This window comes from Homo sapiens, chromosome 4, assembly GCF_000001405.40.
Source record: "Homo sapiens chromosome 4, GRCh38.p14 Primary Assembly".
NCBI lineage: Eukaryota > Metazoa > Chordata > Mammalia > Primates > Hominidae > Homo > Homo sapiens.
In genome coordinates this window covers 76,122,355-76,144,482 of record NC_000004.12, presented here as the reverse complement: position 1 = coordinate 76,144,482, position 22,128 = coordinate 76,122,355, and the positions used below count along the sequence as shown (strand labels likewise).

Sequence of the window (22,128 nt, the reverse complement as noted above, 5' to 3'; positions counted from 1 at the left end):
TTTAATTAGGTGGGTTTGGAGGATTTGGGACAACATCTACAACTGCAGGTTCTGCATTCAGCTTTTCTGCCCCAACTAACACAGGCACTACTGGTAAGAGGCCATCTTAAGTCATTCATAGAAGTAAATGAAGTAGAGGTCAGATTTTTTTTTTTTTTTAACTTACGAAGTTCCAATTTTTCATTCAAAGGACTCTTTGGTGGTACTCAGAACAAAGGTTTTGGATTTGGTACTGGTTTTGGCACAACAACGGGAACTAGTACTGGTTTAGGTACTGGTTTGGGAACTGGACTGGGATTTGGAGGATTTAATACACAGCAGCAGCAGCAAACTAGTAAGTATGAGGTTTTCAGCTTCAAATACAAAACCGTGATGATACTAGCTGACATTATTGAGTGCATTCAGAATACTTTAGTGGACTTTTTATAAGAATTATTAATATATTCCAAAGGATTAGGAATGTTACTTTTCATGTTTAAATATGATAGCAACTGGGGAGAACACTGATTGGCACAGTTAGGATTATAAGGTCCCTGTGTTTAGGATCATTCCATTTAAATTTTTGTTGTTAAAAATAACAAATAGAGAAACTGCACAAAAGTACAGCTTAATGAATTATATATAAGTTTACAAAGGTTAACACCCTTGTAATCACTGCCCATGTCAGGAGATGGTTCCTGGCCAGCCAGTTCAGAAGCCTACCACATTTCCCTACCAATTGCTTCCCCATCAGAGGACCTGCAGTCTTGGCTTTTATGGTGATCATTTTCTTACTTTATATTTTGTCATTCAAGTATGTAAACAGTATTTGGTTTTGCCTGTCTTAAATCTCCATAGGCTCCTCTTTTATCTCTCTTTTTTATTTATTTTTTATTTTTTGAGACGGAGTCTTGCTCTGTCGCCCAGGCTGGAGTGCAGTGGCACGACCTCGGCTCACTGCAACCTCCGCCTCCCAGGTTCAAGCGATACTTCTGCCTCAGCCTCCTGAGTAGCTGGGACTACAGGCGCACACCACCACGCCCAGCTAATTTTTGTATTTTTAGTAGAGACGGAGTTTTACCATATTGGCCAGGCTGGTCTGGAACTCCTGACCTCGTGATCTGCCTGCCTCGGCCTCCCAAAGTGCTGGGATTACAGGTGTGCGCCACCGCGCCTGGCCTCTCTTTTTTATTTTTTAATTTGTTGAAGAAAACAGATCATTTATCCTATAGAGTTTTTTAGTCAAGACTTTTCTGATTGCACGCCTATGGTATAGTTTAACACATTCCTTTGTTCTCTGTATTTCTTGATGATTGGGTTAGATCTGGGGCGTACATATATATATTTTGTTGTTTTGTTGTTTGTTTGCAAGACTATTTTATAGGCCTATTTTTTATCAGAAGACATATAATATCTTTTTTTTTTGAGTGATCAGCCATTGAGCCATTGGTGATCATTACCTAGATCCATTAATTCATTAGGGGTTACAAATAGTGCCATTCCACCTGGATTCATTTATTTGTTGAAATACTTCTGTGAGGAGAAACTTGACTTCATCTGTTTGGTTGATTCTTTCTCTTTATTACTGGTTTTCAGAATAAAGAGTTGGTTATCTAGCATTCTCCAAAGATGACCAATTTTTTTTTAATGTCAGAAACTGCAGCCTTTAAACTAGTTACTATTTTTTAATCCATTGCAGTTACCATTCTTATTGATGCTTAAATTGTTACATCTTTGGCCAGTGCAAGCCTTTTCAAGTTGGCTCCCAAGTCCCTTTGAGACAGTCTGGTTATTAGTCTTTGATGGCTTCCTTACTAACCATCCTTACTAGGTGGTATGGCAGTAGGTTCCAGGGGTTGTTCTGTATGGATTAACTTATTCTCACAAGAACCCTGTGAAATAATACTTTTGTTATCCCCATTTTATGGGTGAAGAGAGGAACCTGAGAGATTGTGACTTACCTGTATACCTCTCTAGAAGAAGTACAGGGATGCAAATTCAACTACTCATTCTAGTGCTCTTTTCACTTTTCCAATCTGATGCCTCTTAAAATTACTTCTGTTTCATTTTTTTAAGTAACTTGATTGACTAGCTAAAATTCATCCTACTCAGTCACTGAAGATTAGTTATTAACTTATTAAACATGAATTTCAAGGATTGCCTAACAGTAGGATGAAGATAATAGAATAGTATTCTCAGAATTATTCTTTCAAGTATTCCAGTCATTCGTCTTTTCTACAATCCTGCAAAAATACAAAATTTGATGAAATATTTAAGTAGTTAAGGAAAGAACAGCAAAAGTGAAGTGTTTCCTTTGTTTCTTGAAATAAAGTCTCTCCAACTATGAGTAACTGTAGTTACATTTGGTTTTTTTAGGAAAATGGGAATTTGAATCTGGTGCTATTTTAAAATTGAAAGGGGCTCATTTTGTTATGTAATATCCATTTATTGTATATATCGTATGTCAGGCATTGGGTGTACAAGGTTGAAGACCACAATCCTTGCTCATAGTCAAGGAGATTCTAGGGTATCCACGCAGAGGAAATAACATGGCATGGTTTATGGCAGAGTATAATGCCTTTGGGACCAGTATAACTAGATCAGTGCAGTTTTTTTAATGCATAAATGACCTCAGGGTCAGTAGTGAGAGTTGGAGAGATAGATATGAATTGGATTATTAGCGTGCCTTATATGTTTTACTAAGGAGCTGTCCTTTAAGCAATTCTAAACTGTTGTAGGATTAAGTAGACAGGAAAATAATCAGATTTTTAGAAGTATCTCTTAGAGAAATACAAAGATAGATTATAGGTGGGTTGGAATGGAGGCAGAGATCTGGTGAAGCTGTTGCCAAAATCTGAGCAAGATATAGTGAAGACCTGAATTAAGGCAGTGACAGTTAAGAATGGAGAGAAAAAACAGGATGTGAATTTGAGAGAGATTTAACTTGTAGAATCAATAAAAGCGAATGACTGGATAAAGGTATCTTGGGCTTCTGGGTGGCGTAACTGAAGGATCCCTTGCTCTTCACTAAGATCCAGAATACTAAAGCAAGAGCAGATGTTTGTGGGTAGATAATGAGTTTGAGGTGTCCCTTGGGTAGTTGTATATATTTATGAAAGCCATCAGAACGTAAGTAGTATTTAAAGTGGTAGATATGGATGATGTAATTTAGGAGACCTGATTCCAGAGTAAGAGGAGAGTACTAGAACAAAACTCTTAGAAACACTAACACTTAAATGCTGCCATCTCCTATCCCCAAGCCAAGTAGGATTTTGACCATAAATTAGCGAGCAGCATTGTTAGGACCACTGCTTGTCCTATCTCAGTATAGAGATGCCCGTCCATGTATTCCTCATACTTATTAGCTCCCTTTTACTAATCACAGCTATTCCTATCTCAGTTGGCAATACCTGTGAATCAAGGGGAAAAGTCACATTTGACTTTGTGACAACCGCCAGAAGTCCTTTCCAAGCCAAAGCATGGATTATCGAGGATCCTTCAGAAGACTGTTGGATCTTTCGACAACTGATACTTTCTGCTCTGTTAGCTCTTTCTGTCTTCACTACTCTAACTAGCTTAGATTCCATGGCCTTCCATTTCTATATCTCTTGCCAATATGCTAAACTTCCTTGTTTTTGTGTCACATTTGCCTGAAAAAACCCCAAGCCTTTGTAAGCCCAACTGTCTGTGTAGATATTGCTTGAGAAAGATCACACATTATGGAAGAGGGGATAATACCTCTCTAAATTCTTGATCACCAACCTCAGGTCTCAATGTTGCCTGGTAATCCTGTGAAATTTCTACTTTCAACTTATTCTCCTGCTTTCTATAGCAGTAATTTTAAACCTTTATTCTCTTCAAATCTCAAATTTATCTGTTCTTACTTTTAGCAGATGGCCTTGACTGCTACTTCCAAGACAAAAAAGGGCTGAGCGCAGTGGCTCACATCTGTAATCCCAGCACTTTGGGAGGCTGAGGTGGGCGGATCACCTGAGGTCAGAGACCAGCCTGGCCAACATGGTGAAACCCATCTCCACTAAAAATACAAAAATTAGATGGGCGTGGTAGTGCACACCTGTAGTCCCAGTTACTCGGGAGGCTGAGACATGAGAATTGCTTGAACCCCATAGGCAGAGGTTGCAGTGAGCTGAGATCGCACCACTGGACTCCAGCCTGGGTGACAGAGCAAGACTCTGTCTCAAAAAAAAAAAAAAAAAACCAAAGAGAAAATAAAATCCCTTATTGCAATTCCTTCAACTTCCCTCCACCAAATCTATTTTTTTTCTCCCTCTATCCACCTTTTCCTCTTTTTACCTGACTCAGGATCTTATAACCTCCTGCCTTTTCAGGGCGCATGTGCTGTTGATTATTCTAGCTGTACTCCGTTCCCCAGTCTTCACCTTCTCATCCACATTTAAGTAACTCAAAGTTTATTTTTTCTTGAAACAGTAATAACAACAACAACAAAACTACTTTAATCCCACATTTCACTTCAGCTACCACTCTCCTCCCCTTTACAAACTATTCGCCAATCTGGTTTCTGTTTTCTTTATTTTATCAAATAAGTTAAGGTCATTAATCATCTCAGTAAATCCAGTGAACACTTACTGTTCTTTATGAAAAATGCTAACAAAGAAAAAAAGAAGTGATGTGAACCCTACCAGCTGGAGTCATCAAAAGTCAGAACTTGTTATTGTCCATCTCCTTTTTCCTTTTTTTAAATCACTGATGTATTTGAGAGCAAATCCCAAGCGTGTCATTTCATGCTTACTTTACTATACTTCTCTCTTTAAAAATGTGTACCTCATTCCAACCCACAATAATTCCTTGGTACTATCTAATACCCCATCTATAACCAGAGTTCCCTATTTGTCTCAAAAGCGTTTTCTTATTTGGTTTGTTTGAATCATGATCCAAACAAGGACCACACATTCATTTTCTTGTCATGTCCCTTAAGTTCTTTTTAGTGTAGAGAATTCCCCATTCTGTTTTTTCCCTCATGAATTTTCCAGTTGTCTTGTTAAATGCCCCCCATTCTGTATTTTTCTTCTGCTTCCTTGTAATATTATTTAACTTTATCTCTCATAATTGTGGTAAATAAAGTTTGCTTTAGGGACTTGACGTTTGCTTTTTTGGTAAGAACATTTTGCAAGTGGTGCTGTGTGCTTCATATCACGTCACGTTGAGAGGCTATCTCACTTTTGGTGATGCTAAGATTGATCAGTAGGTTCAGATGGTGACAGCGTATCTTTATCTTACTACTTTAACCTAATGGTTTCATTCCTTGATGATCATTGCCTCAATCAGTTATCTTATTAGGAGTTGCAAAATGGTGATTTTCTAATTTCCTCCCTATCACACTGAAATTTCTTCTGTAAAAGGAACTTTTTCTTCATCCTCCAAGACTGCTTGATCACCCTGATGTACAGTTTGTATAGTAAAGGCAAGATAATTTTTTTTCTTTTTAATGGACAATTTTTGTAAAAAGGAGTTGGCGGTCTCATTATTTCTAATGGTATCCAAGGAGTTAGGATTTAAAAAAAATTTGATCTTTACTTTATAAAATTACCATTTTGAATGCATGGGCTTTAATAAATATGTTTCAGTTGTTGCATTTGGCCAGTGGGAGACCTTAACTTCTGTGACACTCCAGTCTAGTTTTTTCCTACCTCATTGTTAGTCCTCCTTATTGCTTTTGTCCACTCATCTTCCTCTCTCTGTCTCTACAGAGATGTTACACATACTGTTGGCCTTTACCTCTACCCCATGGCTTAGCTGACTCCTTCCTTTAGGCCCTAACTGAAGTGCTAATGGAACTGTCTTCTCTTGACCCCTCTCTCAGGCTTGATCAGCTCCCTTATTTAGTACTCCCAGAACCTCTGTACTTCTCTGAAGGACTTATCACAATTGTTAATATTTGTTTGATGTGTTCAGTTTGTTTAATGCACCTTGTCTACCTTGTTTACCACTGTATCTTTAGTATTTGGCTCTGAGCACTTAGTAGGTACTCAGTAAATATTTGTTGTATGAATTAATGGTGAATGAATGAATGAATGTGTTTATAAAAAACCAAGAGAGACTGTGTTGTCAGGAAATTTAAGGGAGAAGGGCTTTCAAGGAGGATGTGTATTCAACAGAAGGTGAAGATTTTCTTTGGGGGCCAAAGGAATAATCAACAGCATGGGAGGCTGACTGCATATGTCTCGGTATAGAGATCACAGTTGATTCATCTCATGTAAAAGTTGAGGAAGATAAAGCCCAGGAATTTCTTGCTCAAGGATAGAAAGCGACCTTATAATAAACCAGGATTCAAGTGTTCTGAGTTCTAGTCCAGTTCTTGCCAATGTTTATATATACTAATTTGGGAATTAATACTTTTCTGGAGAGTAAAAGAGCCTCTCTCTAGCTCTGTAGAAGCTCCATGGACCTTGTGGTACTTTCAATGTTTAGAGCTGAAAGAGAACTTAAACAATATCTAATACAGTGTTTTAAAACTCAGGTCATTTTGGTATTCACGTTTTCTCCTCATCTACATACCATTTGTATTACTATTTAAGAATTTTCTTTAAATCAGTTTACTTTGAAACACGAAATACAGTTATTTTAAAGTAAAATTTATTGCTGCTATAAGTGGAAAATTAGTATCATTTGCTCTAAGGAAAAGGTAATTGAAATTAAGTACAAAGAAAATATAGTGTAAATAAATTCTAGGTAGATAACTTTGCCTTAAGCTCTGAGCCTTAGACTTGCTCCTCGCTTTGTTGAAAGATGACATACTTATCTCACACTTTGGGGCATATTTATCTGCCCTAAGAACTTGGCCCTTCTTTCCATTAGAGAAATTGGTATCCCAGAGAGGTTGATTTGCCCAAAGTTACACAGCCATCTAAAGTTTTAGCCTAGAATACTGATGGTTAATCCATTTGTTATTACTATATATATTTTTTAATAATGAGAGAAAGGAAAATGTTTAGTAAGCTGGTATTTGATATAACAATGATTTTTAGACTTTGTATCCCCCAATTTGTATTTATTATATAAATATAACAGCAATAAAGGTTATTTTAAAAAATCCTACATCTTTACAAACTTTTTTTTATCCACATGCATCCCTTCCTCCCTCCCTCCATTCTTTCATGTGTAGGTTTAATATTGTGGACCCAATCTGTGTTCTGGTAATGGAATTAATTTGGATAACATCATTAGGGCTGGGCACAGTTGCTCATGCCTATAATCCCAGCACTTTGGGAAGCTGAGGCAGGAGAGTCGCTTGAGCTCAGAAGTTTTGAGACCAGCATGGGAAACATAGTAAGACCCTGTCTCTACAAAAAATAATTTTAAAAAATTAACCAGGTGCACATTGGTGCACTCCTGTAGTCCCAGCGACTCAGGATGATGAAGCAGGGGTATTGCTTGAGCCCAGAAGGTTGAGGCTGCAGTGAGCCATGATCTTGCCACTGCACTCCAGTCTAGGCAACAAAGTAAGACCCTGTCTCAAAAAAATATTATTAGAAAAACAAATTTAACGTTATAAGGTTTGGCCTAGTGTGTTAGTTTCCTATTGCTGCCATACCAAATTACCACAAACTTAGTGGCTTAAGACAATAAAATTTTATTATTTTATAGTTTCTGGAGATTAGAAGTCCAGAAGTGGGTTTCACTGTGCTAAAATGAAGGTCCTGGCAGTACTGCGTTACTTCTAGAGGCACTAAGGGAGAATCCATTCTCTTGCATTTTCCAGTTTTTAGAGTCTTCCTGCATTTCTTGGCTCGCGGCTCTTCCATCTTGCCATATGCCAACAGCATAGCATCTTCAGATCTGTTTGACTCTGAGCGCACTCTTCCACTTTTGAGGATCTTATGATTACGTTGAGTCCCTCCTGATAATCCAGGATAACCCTCTATCTCAGCATGCTTAATTTAATCACATCTACAAAGGCCCTTTTGCTATGTAAGATAACATATTTATAGGTTCTGTAGATTAGGATATGGGCATCTTGGAGGGGGCCATTATTTTGCCTACCACGCCTAGGATCTGGATTAAGTTTTGTTTTGTTTTGTTTTTAAATACTAATTTTGGGTACATTTTTAGCATTAGGTGGTCTCTTCAGTCAGCCTACACAAGCTCCTACCCAGTCCAACCAGCTGATAAATACTGCGAGTGCTCTTTCTGCTCCAACGCTGTTGGGAGATGAGAGAGATGCTATTTTGGCAAAATGGAATCAACTGCAGGCCTTTTGGGGAACAGGAAAAGGGTATTTCAACAATAATATTCCGCCAGTGGAATTCACACAAGAAAATCCCTTTTGCCGATTTAAGGTATTATTAATACTATTTTTATCTTCAGTTGAAGATTTTGTATAACAGAAAATATATTTAGATTAATATCAAGATAACAATTGCTTGGATCTTTACTCCTTGAACATGGTATGATTATACTTTTATTTTGAAAATATAGAAATTATAAAATTGAAGTGATTTCATACATATGTGTGGTTGAAGGTGACCAGAATATGAATGAAGGAAGGTGTGACTGGAATGTGATTTATAACTGAAGAAAAAAAATGTAAACAGGAGAATGGTTTGCCTGGCACCTGTAAAGGGGAGACACCAAACTACAATTTAGTGGTATTCATTTAACATTGGCCAGGAGAGTATACCCTAACCAGCAGACAGAAATTCCCCTTGGCATGTATAACCCCAAAGCTATTAAAACAATATTGCCCATTTTCTGTGTTCTTATTCCCTGCCTACCAAACAACCTTCTCATTTGTCTCTTCAGAAAATCTCTTTATCAGCCAGTGAGAGTATTTAGGTCCATTTGGTAATGCATTTTCCATAACAAATTACGTATTGCAATCCAGTTTATACCTCAGCCTCTTAGGAGTTATATTGGCCTACGTTGGTCTCTTAAACCTAATCAATATGTACATAACCCTGTGTTTGGAGCTGTAAGGCTGAGGATCAGATCCTTGAATAAAGTGGTCAGCCTGTCTTATTACAGAACATCTCTTTGTGTCATCACTAACAAAAAGTATATTGAGTGCATATAGTTGAAATTTTGATACATGTATTTAGTCGCTAAGAGGTATTCAATAATAGACATAAGTTGAATATAACAATAAAGTTGGTGTATAACATGGTAAAATGCATAATGTACACTTGAGTTAATTTAAATTCTTTTTTAAAAGTTGCAGGTGAGTGGTGAAAAGGGATAAAAGGCTTCTATCTAAAAGAGCAATTATTTAGAAAAGTATAATTGGTCATATTAATATGTAAAAAAACAACAACCCTGTTTCATAAAGTTTTGTATTATATAAACCAATAAAGTGATACAGACATTCTTTATAGTATTTGTAAGTTGACTGTCATTACTGTGATTTAAAAGTATTTATTTGTAAATTACTTCTTTATATATTTAAAACTTAGTTTAAGATTCCATGAATCAGATATACAGATACTCCTCAACTTATTATGGGTTACATCCCAATAAACCCATCATAATTGAAAATATTGTAATTCAGAAATGCATTTAATACACCTAACCTACCAAGCATCATAGCCTAGCCTAGCCTACTTTAAACATGCTCAGAACACTTACATTAGTGTACAATTGGGCAGAATAATCTAACATCAAGTCCATCTTATAATAATAATAATTTTATAATAAAAACTAAAAGATCAGAATTCCATGTATGGTTTACATGTATGTATATATGAATGCGTATTGCTTTCACACCCTATAAAATGGAAAAATCATAAGTTGAGAATCTGTATAGTGAAATAAATTATAATTAGTTGGTGATTTTTGCAGTCACTTTTATAATGACATGCAGATGGTTCAGAAACAACCAACAATAATGAATATCAAAATTTTTTAGGGGAGAAAGCTGTTTAGTTACTCTCTCAAAGAGGAAATGTTAATCTTACTCTATAGGTTAATGTTATTCCTGGGTAAAATAGTTTTTCTTTATAATTTTGTGACCTCCTAGGGCACAAAATGGTGGGAAGAATCATTATTCCCTTAATTACCAGACATTAAGTTGTTTTTCCCATTTTAGCAGATATTAAGCTATTAATATTAAACACCTGATTTAAGATCTGTACATATTTTTTATATTGTTTATTTTGTCATTCCACAGGCAGTAGGTTATAGTTGCATGCCCAGTAATAAAGATGAAGATGGGCTAGTGGTTTTAGTTTTCAACAAAAAAGAAACAGAGATTCGAAGCCAACAACAACAGTTGGTAGAATCATTGCATAAAGTTTTGGGAGGAAACCAGACCCTTACTGTAAATGTAGAGGGCACTAAAACATTGCCAGATGATCAGTAAGTATACATAAATATACTGTTTATTTCTGTGTATTTATTTCTGGTCCTAAGGGAGTGATCAATAATGTTTTTGTTGCTAAAGCACAAATTAACTCTCAGAGCAGAATGCCTTTTCTCAGCTAGTGATTATTCAGTATTGATAAAAACATTTATTTAAAAGTTTTTTTAAAATTTTGGATTTTTTAACTTACTAGATGCTAATAATTTTCTAGATTTTCATTCAGGCCAGGAAGGGACCATTTGTCATAGATGCGTGCAAATTGAGGGCCATAAAGATGTTATTGGAAAATGTTATTAACTCATTACTGTTCATGTTCATTCATGAATAAATATTATTGCTTTACTTCCCTTGACCTAAGTATAATTCTCAGTGTTAGTGGCAAGACATTTATTTTAGGATATTTGGAGGAATGATTATTAATGAGATGCAATAATTGAACAGATTTTACTTGTGGTTGTAATTGCAGAGAAGCAGCCCATAAATTTCAACAGAATTTCCTATAGTAAATAACATTTACATAGGATTTTGCAACTAAGCAAACCCTTTTATAAATATTATCTTATTGGCCGGGCACGGTGGCTCACGCCTGTAATCCCAGCACTTTGGGAGGCCGAGACGGGCGGATCATGAGGTCAGGAGATCGAGGCCATCCTGGCTGACACGGTGAAACCCTGTCTCTACTAAAAATACAAAAAAAATCAGCCGGGCGTGGTGGCAGGTGCCTGTAGTCCCAGCTACGAGGGAGGCTGAGGCAGGAGAGTGGCATGAACCCAGGAGGCGGAGCTTGCAGTGAGCCAAGATTGAGCCACTGAACTCCAGCCTGAGGGACAGAGAGAGACTCCGTCTCAAAAAAAAAAACAAATACTATCTTATTTACCTGGTTCTTTTTAACTTTATCATTTAGGTTGATTTGTAAATGAACATTACATGAAGTAAAACTTTCTTATTTTCCAAGATTTAAGAAGAAAACAGTTGGGCACAGCAGCTCATCATACCTGTAATCCCAGAACTTTGGGAGGTCAAGGTGGGAGGATTGCTTGAGACCAGGAGTTTGAGACTAGCCTAGGCAACATAGCGAGTGTCCGTCTCTCAAAAAAATTTAAAAATATATATATATATATATCATATATATTTATGTATAGACACACATACATGTAAGCTAAACGTAGCGGGTGTGCAGCTGTACTCTCAGTTACTTGGAGGCTGAGGTGGGAGAATTGCTTAAGCCTGGGACATTGAGGCTGCAGTGATGATACCACTGCACTCCAGCCTGGGCAACAGAGCAAACCTTGCTCAAAAAAAAAAAAAAAGGAAACATTTTAATTGCCTCCTAAAACAACCATTTCTGAATTCAACTTAAACCCTTCTGAAATCACATGCTATGATATGCTGAGGTTTGTCGCTATGAGTTTTGTGCTCCATATTTTATAAATTGGTTATTCTTCCTTCAGGACAGAAGTTGTTATTTATGTTGTTGAGCGTTCGCCAAATGGTACTTCAAGAAGAGTTCCAGCTACAACGCTATATGCCCATTTTGAACAAGCCAATATAAAAACACAATTGCAGCAACTTGGTGTAACCCTTTCTATGACTAGAACAGAACTTTCTCCTGCACAGATCAAACAGCTTTTACAGAATCCTCCTGCTGGTATGTTTCTAGAATCACAGAGTTCAAAAAAAAAGAAAGATTTAGAACTAAACACTCCCCGTATTTCAGAGGTGTTGGTTGGTTATTAATGCTAATAAAATTAGTATCATCTTGTCATATATCTACTTATTTGGGAAATAGTTTTGAATATTTGTATTCATTTAGTTTTTTATTATATAGCTAATATGTATATGTTAAAATAGAAATTTTGAGAAATAGTGAACTGAAGAAAAATAGTCCATAATCCATCTACCCAAAGGTAATTTACTAGTAAAATTTTGGCTTATTTTTTTCTAGCTTATCTCATTTTAACTGAATATTCAAGTAAAACCTGAATGTATTCTAACTGTAAAATATTCTGGATGGCATAACTAGATTGACTATGTGATAGATTACCTTTAGTTCCTTTCCCCGGAAGTAACTACTGTCAATTTATGGTACTATGTTTAATCCTTTATCTGTGATTTGAAATGTAAGCATATTTACATGTAGATCTTTTAAAAAAGGATTCTCCATATACACCTTCAGCTTGCCTTTTTACAGTATTCCTTAGCACTTTTCATGTCAATACATGAAGATAAATCTTACTGTATTTAAACATTGCATAGTATTCCATGGATACACCTTTACTTAACACCTCTAAGTTGTTTTCTTTTTACTATTATAAACTGTACAGTAATTAACAATATCCTTGTAAACATGTCTTAGAACACATTGGTATATATTTCTTTAGAATAGATCTCTGGTAATGAAATTTTTGAGTCAATATTATGTATGTTAGATATTGCCAAATTGCCCTCCAGGGAAAGTTCTACCGTTTATATTCATAACAGGAATGTTATTTTTTCTGGCCACTGATGGCAAAATAATTAATTTAAAAATTAATACTTATTTTTAATATGTTTATTAGCTACATTTATATTTTTTGTGAGTTACCTATTTGTGTCCTTTGCCCATTTTCTAGATTTTTTTGTCTTCCTTTTTGATGTATAGGAACTCTTTCTATATTCTGGAGGTTAATCTATTATCCTATAGGTTATAGATAGTTCCTTTCAATCTGTGCTTTTTTTGAACTTTATTTATTCTGCAAAAATTTGTATTTTTACCATGATTATATTTGACAGTCACTTTTCATTATAGCTTCTAGGTATAGGGTCTTGCTTTAGGAAAGCCTTTGTCATACACATATTATAAAAATAGAAAATTGTTTTAGAAAAAATATTTTTTATTTGTGGTAGGTGTTGATCCTATTATCTGGGAACAGGCCAAGGTAGATAACCCTGATTCTGAAAAGTAAGTATGTCTTCATCTTGTTTCATTTAAGAACTAATATTTGCTACTAGGAAAGCAAACATGGGAGCTATTAATTATAATTCTTACATATGAGACAAGTTTATTTTCATTTTCCTGGCCTTTAAAAAATATTGATTATTGTCCAGCTAAAGCTTCAGCCAAAACAAAAAGAAAAAAATAAGAAAAAAAAAGATTATGGTAAGGCAGCATAGCATAGTGAGAACTAACTAGGAGCGGAAAATTCTATTTGCGTTTTCATTTAATAATGTAATGTTTTGACTGAACTGTATTTCCTCATTTGTAAAATAGGGAGGTTGAATAAAATCTCTTTGGTATAACATGGTTATCTCATAGTCATAGATCTGCCTTAGAGCCCTAGAAAGTTGATGTAAAATTACATGAGTGTTACTAAAACCTTCACTTCTTGTATTTTGTAGTAATAGGCTTAAGGTCTGAAAATTGTTCACTGCGTTTCTTCAGGTTAATTCCTGTACCAATGGTGGGTTTTAAGGAACTTCTCCGAAGACTGAAGGTTCAAGATCAGATGACTAAGCAGCATCAAACCAGATTAGATGTAAGCATTTAGCTTTTTATTCCCTGGCCCTGGAAGTAGGGAAAGGGATTATAGACATTTAATTCTTTTTAGTATATGTGCTACTGTTTTATCTTAATCAGGAAACAATGTAGCATACACTGCAATTTAATAGTTTTATACAACTACCTTCTTTATGATAGAAGTCCCCAAATCACATGAATCTGATTTGATATAATAATGAATTTAGAATTCTTGTCTTAGTGGATTAATTAGACTGTCATTTCCAGTTTCAGCCAGGGATTGCATATTATTATTTATGGGGCCTTATGAAAATGAAGGTTATAGTAATGATTATTTTATGTTGACATATAATTGTCTTGGTATATTATTGTATGTTGATAAAATTAATGCTTAAATATACTTAATATTTTATTTCATAAAGTAGACTTTTTTAGGAGACCAGGGTGGGTGGATCACTTGAGATCAGGAGTTCAAGACAAGCCTGGCCGACTTGGCAAAACCTGGTCTGTACTAAAAAATTCAAAAATTAGCTGGGTGTCGTGGTGCACGCCTGTAATGCCAGCAACTTGGGAGGCTGAGGCATGAGAATTGTTTGAACCCGGGAGGCAGAGGTTGCAGTGAACAGAAATCGTGCCACTGCACTCCAGCCTGGGCGACAGAGTGAGACTCCTCAAAAAAAAAAAAAAAAAAAAAAAAAAAAAAAAAAACTTTCATAATTAAATACTTAAAGATTCTTAAAGGTCAGAGAAATTTCTATGATTTCAATTCTTTTAACTTTGCTAAGGTTTTTTTTTTTTTTTTTTTTTTTTTGAGACGTCTCTCGCTCTGTCGCCCAGGCTGGAGCACAGTGGCGCGATCTAGGCTCGCTGCAAGCTCCACCTCCTGAGTTCACGCCATTCTCCTTCCTCAGCCTCCGGAGTAGCTGGGACTACAGGCGCCTGCCACCACGCCCGGCTAATTTTTTGTATTTTTAGTAGAGACGGGGTTTCACCGTGTTAACCAGGATGGTCTCGATCTCCTGACCTCGTGATCCACCCATCTCGGCCTCCCGAAAGTGCTAGGGTTACAGGCGTGAGCCACTGCGCCCGGCCAACTTTGCTGAGGTTTTATAACCCAGGAGCCTATGAAAATAATGTGTATTCTGCAGTCCTTGGGTGAAGTTTTCTATTAATGTCAGTGAGATCCAGTTGGTTGATAGTATTGCTCAGTTCTGTATTCTTGTTGTTTTTTCTGTCTGCTAGTTTGAGAAGAGATTTGAAATCTACAGCAACACTTACGGATTTGTGTTTTTCTCCTTTCATTTCTCAGTTTTTGCTTCATGTATTAATAGTTTGAAGGGCTGTTGTTATATAGGATTGTTGTGTTTTCTTGGCAAATTTACCTTTTATTATTATATCATATCCCTCTTAATCCTCGGTAAGTTTTAAATCTTCTCTAATGGCCTTTTCTTTTATTGTTTTTAATCGATACATAACTACATATTTATGGGGCATAGTGTGATAATTCAATACATGGATATAGTGTGTAATGATCAAATAAAGTAATTAGCATATCCATTACCCCATACATTTATCATTTGTTGGTATCATGGGAAATTCACTCCTATAGCTATTTGAAACACAATAAATGGTTGTGAATTATAGTTACCTATAGTGCTATAGAACACTGGAACTTAATCCTCCTATCCAGCTGTACTTTTGTATCTGTTAAGCAACCTTTGGCAGTTCCCTACTCCTACTCTTTCTCCACCTCTAGTAGCCACTATTCTACTCTTTTCTTCTACTAAATCAACTTTTTTTAGCTTCCACATATGAGTGAGAACATGCAGAATTTATCTTTCTGCACGTGGCTTATTTCACTTAACAAAATGTCTTCCAAGTTCATCTATGTTGCTGCAAATGGTAGCACTTCATTCTTTTTCATGATTAAATAGTATTCTATTGTGTGTGTATATATGTGTACACATACACACCATGTTTTCTTTATCCATTCATCTGTTCATGGACACTTACTCAAGACACTCAGAAGTCTTTGTCTGGTGTTAACATAGCCACGCTACCTTTCTTTTGATAAAAAGTGTTTGTATGGCATACCTTTGTCCATCTTTTTGCTTTTAACCTACCTATATTGTTATATTTGAAGCGAGATTCTTGTAGACAGCAAAAAGTTTGGATTTAGTCCTACCATTTATTTGTTTTGTGTTTGTAGCCTCTGTTTTTCATTCCTGTTTCTACTTTTCTGCTTTCTTTTGAGTTATTTGGACTTTTTTTTTTTTTTCAGCATTTCCTTTTAATCTATTATTTCAAGTCTTAGAGCAGTACTTCTTAGTAGTGGCTTGTGGTGGTGGTGGTGATTTTGTCTCCCAGAGCACATTTGGCAATGTCTGGAGACTCTTGGTTGGGGAGTACTACAGGCGTCTAATGTGTAGAGGCCCAGATGCTGCACACATTCTGCAGTGTACAGAACAGTACTCCCACAACAAGGAATTACCCAAGATTAATAGTGCTGAAGTTGAGAAACCTTTCTCTAGGTAATACGATGTATCTCCTCCCACTATAACTAGCAGACTTCCCTTGGAGCTCCCTTTCAGCATTTATGCTCATTTCCAGGTTTGAGGCTGGGTTGAAACCAGACTAGGGACGCCTGAGGGGAAAAATGGGTAAACTCACCACAAGTTTATTGGTACTTTAAATTCCTATCTTACCTGATCTTCCTGCCAGAGTTCCCAAATAGCTGCCCCGTGTATTCCATCCAAGTTTTATAGCTATATTAAATGGGAGAGATTGGGGTTGTATATGCTTAGTCCATCTTGTCCAGAACTGAAATCATTCATATCTTTGGCCAGTGTTTCCACTGGGCTTCCTATTTTTTCTTTATTGAACTTCAGTAATCATTTACTCTAGATTGTAGTCTCTGTTTATAACGTTGTAAATATCTTCTAGTTTCTCATCTCTTTGTTAATTCTGTCTTTGGTGTCTGTAGTTGAAGAGAAATCCTTAATTTTAATGTAATGATATCCATTAAATGTTTGCCTTGTATTTTCTTTTTGGGAATTTGCTTAAATAATTTTTCACCCCAAAGTCTGAGAGTATCCTACATTAAAAAAAATTTAGAGTTTAACCTTTCACGTTTGAGTCTTTTGTTGTCATCATGAAGTTTACCTTTATATAAAGTATGTGGTATGAACTCAGATTTATTTTTCTCTAAATAGTGGGTCCATTTTTTTTTTTTTTTTTTTTTTGAGATGGGGGTCTCGTTCTGTCGCCCAGGCTGGAGTGCAGTGGCGCAATCTCGGCTCACTGCAAGCTCCGCCTCCTGGGTTCACGCCATTGTTCTGCCTCAGCCTCCCAAGTAGCTAGGACTACAGGCGCCCACCACCACGCCTGGCTAATTTTTTGTATTTTTAGTAGAAATGGGGTTTCACCGTGTTAGCCAGGATGGTCTCGATCTCCTGACCTCGTGATCCACCCGTCTTGGCCTCCCAAAGTGCTGGGATTACAGGCGTGAGCCACTGCGCCCAGCCCTATATTTTTAATATTGCCTATAAAAATATGATATTCCTCAATGATTATCAAAGAATTTAAATTACACTGTTTGCATATATATATGTGATCTATTTCTAGACCCTCTCTTATGTTTCATTGGCCAGTTGGTCTGTTCTTATACCCACCCATTCCACATTTTTTTAGTCTTATGGCTTTGTAGTGTATCTTAATATCTAGTAGCATGAATCTCTAATCTTGGTTCTTCTTTTCAAAGTTTTCTGGGTCTTTATGGGTCTTTATTCTTCCATAAAAACTTTAGAATCAATTTGTCAGAATGCTAGAATTATGGTTGGAATTGCATTAAATGCAAAGACTAATTTGTGGGAATTGAATTTTAATATTAAATCATTTCATCCATGAATGTGGTATGTCTCTTTAATCCTTGCAGTCTTTTATGTCCTTTAAAATAATTTTAAAATATTCCCTTTTAAAATCTCATGCGTTCTTTCTTGGATCAATTCCTAGATGGCTTTCTTGGATCAATTCCTAGATGGTTTTAGTATTTGTTAATAAATACTGTGGCTGATAACATGTCTAATTTTTTTAGTTATTACTGGTAGAAAATAATGTTGTAAGTACTCTTGTATCTAAAAACCCTGGTGATTTTTCAAAATTGGGATGGGGAGATTGCCTAGGTTTTGTAATATAAAACATGGCCACCTAATTTTGTCCTTTCAGCATGGCCTGGCATTGGAAAGTTTCTGTAAAAGGTGATGTGTGCAGGTGGATGTGCTAAAATATGTCTTGCACAATCTTAACCTCTTTCTTGTAACATGTAAATGTAAGCCAGTGGCATAGAATGATTAATTATGATAGAGACAATTATGGGATTAATTCTGATTGGGATGCTTTAATAAAATAGTGAGATTTTAACCTACCCTGTAAGGTTAAGACTTCCTAAGGCAGAATAGTGGGATTTCAGTCAGGTAAAACAGCAAGTCAAAGATCCAGAGGCATAAAAATGTATCCTGCTGCATAATTAATATCATTCCTTTTCCTCTGCACTCTGATTACTCCCTCCAAGTATTCTGTAACAGTTAATGTTGAAATGTACTGTACTTGCTGTCAGTAGTTAGATACAGGGCTAATTGTCTATTAAGACACCCCCTAGATATCATCTTACACATCTTAACTTTTTCCACTCAGACCTGGTTGTTGGCTGTATTCCATGTTACTTCAGATTCCTTAATTATTTCTGAAGTATGTGTTTTCTTTTTTTCCTTTTGAGATAGGTCTCTCCCTCTCTCTCTGTCTCTCTCTCTCCCTCCCCCTCCCCCTCTCTCCCTCTCTCCCTCTCTCCCCCTTTCTCCCTCTTCTCCCTCTCTCTCCCTCTCCCTCTCTCCCCCTCTCTCCCTCTCTCCCCCTCTCCCCCTCTCCCCCTCTCTCCCTCTTCTCCCTCTCTCTCCCCCTCTCTCCCTCTTCTCCCTCTTCTCCCTCTCTCCCTCTCCCTCTCTCCCTCTCTCCCCCTCTCTCCCTCTCCCCCTCTCCCCCTCTCCCCCTCTCCCTCTCCCTCTTGCCCATGCTGGAGTGCAGTGGCATGATCACGGCTCACTGCAACCTCAAACTCCTGGGCTCAAGTGATCCTCCCACCTCAGCCTCCTAAGGAGCTGGGATTACAGGCATGTAGCACTACACCTGGTTAATTTTTTATATTTTTTGTAGAGACAAGGTCTTGCCATTTTGCCCAAGCTTGTCTCAAAATCCTGGTCTCAAGCACTCCTCTTGCCTTGGCCTCCCAAAGTGCTAGGATTACAGGAGTGACCCACTGTGCCCAGCCGTGTGTGTGTGTGTGTGTGTGTGTGTGTGTGTGTGATGGAGTCTCACTCTGTTTTTTGTTTTTTGTTTCTGTGAGATGGAGTTTCACTCTGTTGCCCAGGCTGGAGTGCAGTGGCACGATCTCGGCTCCATCCCCCAGGTTTAAGTGATTCTCCTGCATCAGCCTTCCAAGTAGCTGGGATTACAGGTGCATGCCACCACACCCAGCTACTTCTTTGTATTTTTAGTAGAGACGGGGTTTCACTATGTTGGCCAGGCTGGTCTTGAACTCCTGACCTTAAGTAATTTGCCTGCCTCGTCCTCCCAAAGTGGTGGGATTACAGGTGTGAGCCACCACGCCCAGCTTATTTTTTCTATGTATTGCCTCATTGCTAAATTTCCTAGAGCTCTAAAGATATCTTTGCATGATTCTTTTAAAAAAATTTTAGGTATGTAAAAAGGGAAGAAATATAAAGCACAGATTTATAGGGAAAGAGTTTATATTTTGAGAGATGAATCTCAGGCTTATCCCAAGATTAGAATTTCCATACAGGTGTAACTGATAAATAGTTGTGATATTTGATTAACCCTCCCCCCCCCAATTTTTTTTTAAACAGATCATATCTGAAGATATTAGTGAGCTACAAAAGAATCAAACTACATCTGTAGCCAAAATTGCACAATACAAGAGGAAACTCATGGATCTTTCCCATAGAACTTTACAGGTAGTAATTTGGATTTTCCCCCCCAGTGTTTATAAGACTATGTGTGTGAAATAATGTACTAAATATAGATTTTTAAAATAGAAAAAAAAATACTAAAATGAAAGAATAATGTGAAATTACAAGTACCGAATTCTTTCAGTAAAACTTTGAAATTGGAAAACAAGTCTCATAGGTTTGAGTGAGGAGAATAAAAATATCCTAAAGTTCGTATTTTAGTGACAGTTTGAGGGAAAGCAGTGAAGAAATAAAGCATCTTAGTGCAAGGGAAGCTTCTGTGAGATTATTGATGTCTCATAAATTTCATAAAATAGTTTCATAAAATAGTTCAGAAAATTTTTTGAGTGCTAGAAAAAGGAGTGTAACCATAATGGTCGAAAAACAATAGAATTTCCAAATTAACAGGAGGAATTAAAAGAATAATAACAACTGAAATTATAAACTATCATGAAAACAGAAATATTACATACCAGAACCAGTGGGAAACAGCAAAATCTGTACTCAGAGGAAAACTTACAGCCATAAAAAATTCTCATTTAAAAAAATCAAATGTGAAAAATAAAGGAACTTAGTACTCATGTTAAATTAGAAAAGGAATATCAAGATAAGCCAAAAGAAACTAAAAAGAAAGAAAGATAAATGTGAAATTAGTGAAAGACTAAAAAATGTAATAGTGGAAAGAATAAATTAAAAAACTGTTTCTTTGAAAAGACCGTTAAAATTACTAAGCATCTCATCAGCTGGAAGAAGGGAAAAACAGAGTAAAATATACAAAATTAGTAGTGGGAAAAGAGGCATCACCGTAGATATACAAAACAGAATAAGAAGATACTGCATGGGCCGGGCACAGTGTCTCACTCTTGTAATCCTAGAACTTTGGGAGGCCGAGGTGAGTGGATTGCCTGAGCTCAGGAGTTCAAGACCAGCCTGGGCAACACGGTGAAACCCCATCTCTACTAAAATACAAAAAAATCAGCCAGGCATGGTTGCTTGTGCCTGTAGTTCCAGTTACTTGGGAGGCTGAGGCACGAGAATTGCTTGAACCTGGGAGGCGGAGGTTGCAGTGAGCCGAGATCACGCCACTGCACTCCAGCCTAGGCTACAGAGCAAGACTCCATCTCAGAAAAAAGGAGAAAAAAAAAAGAAGATGCTGCATGTACTTTAGGGTAACAGATTTGGAACTCAGAGGAAGTTTTATTTTGATTTTTCTATGAAAATGAAAATTACCAAAATCTACAGAGAAGTAAGAAAACAAATACCACAGAAACAGTTGGAAAAATGAAAGATGAAACATGAAAAAGGCCTTAGGGACAGATAGTTTCATTGCCAAATTTTGTCTAACCACAAAAGAGCTAATCCAGTGTTATTTTGATTATTCTAGACAATTGAGGAATAATTTATACAGCTTCATTTGTTCTTTTTTCACAGCTTAAGATAATTTGCATACCATACTATTTACTCATTTAAAGTGTACAATTCAATGGCTTTTAGTATATTCAGAGACTTGTATAACCGTTATTACCACAATCAATTTTAGAACATTTCTGTCACCCTACAGACAAATCCCGTACCCATTGTCAGTCACTTCCCCGTTTCACTGCAAATCTGTCAGTCCTATGCAACCAGTTTTGCCTATATGGGTTTGCCTGTTCTGGAAACCTCATATAAATGGAATCATAACGATATATGGTCTTTTGTGACTGGCTTTTACTTAGCATAATGTTTTCAAAGTTCAACTGTGTTGTACCATGTAATAGTACTTCAGGTACTAATAAATGATTATTATTCATTTATTGCTGAATATTCCATCATATGGCTATACCACATTTTACTCAATTGATGGACATTTTGGTGGTTCTCCTTTTTGGCTATTATGAATAATATTGCTATTAAAATTTATTTACAAGTGTTTGTTTGGACATATACTTCTATTTCTCTTGGGTATAAACCTAGGAGTGAAATTGCTGTGTCATATGCACACTATGTTTAACTTTTTGAGGAACTACGTAAACTGTTTTCCAAAGCAACTGTACCATTTTACATTTCTGTTTGTAGCATCTCAAAAAAAGAAATTATAAACAGCTATTTTAAAGAGATGCAAATTATGCTAAGTGAAAAAAGCCAGACTTAAAGGCTGTGTAAGGCATGATTCTATTTATATAACATTATACAAAAGAAAATTAGGGACAGATAACAGATTAGTAGTTGCCAGGGACTGTAGATGAAGAGAGAAGTGTGACTACAAGGGGCTTGGGGTGATGGAAATATTCTGTATCTTAATCACTGTGGTGGTTACA

The 22,128-nt window shown here is 36.5% G+C and overlaps 1 protein-coding gene across 10 annotated transcripts in view; it reads left to right on the top strand.

Annotated features, from left to right (window-relative positions):
• Positions 1-22,128, top strand: part of NUP54 (nucleoporin 54) — a 33,734-nt gene that overhangs the window by 3,915 nt on the left and 7,691 nt on the right. For 3 of the 10 annotated variants that reach the window (NM_017426.4, XM_047415785.1, XM_047415784.1), the window contains 8 exons: positions 10-93; positions 191-334; positions 8,071-8,297; positions 10,121-10,308; positions 11,764-11,960; positions 13,199-13,253; positions 13,734-13,827; positions 19,727-19,834. In NM_017426.4, coding sequence (NP_059122.2) covers positions 10-93; positions 191-334; positions 8,071-8,297; positions 10,121-10,308; positions 11,764-11,960; positions 13,199-13,253; positions 13,734-13,827; positions 19,727-19,834 — 1,097 coding nt within the window. Of the gene's footprint in view, positions 1-9; positions 94-190; positions 335-8,070; positions 8,298-10,120; positions 10,309-11,763; positions 11,961-13,198; positions 13,254-13,733; positions 13,828-19,726; positions 19,835-22,128 lie in introns of those variants that run through there. The other 7 variants (NR_103780.2, NM_001278603.2, XM_011532033.4 and 4 more) reach the window with 7 other exon arrangements.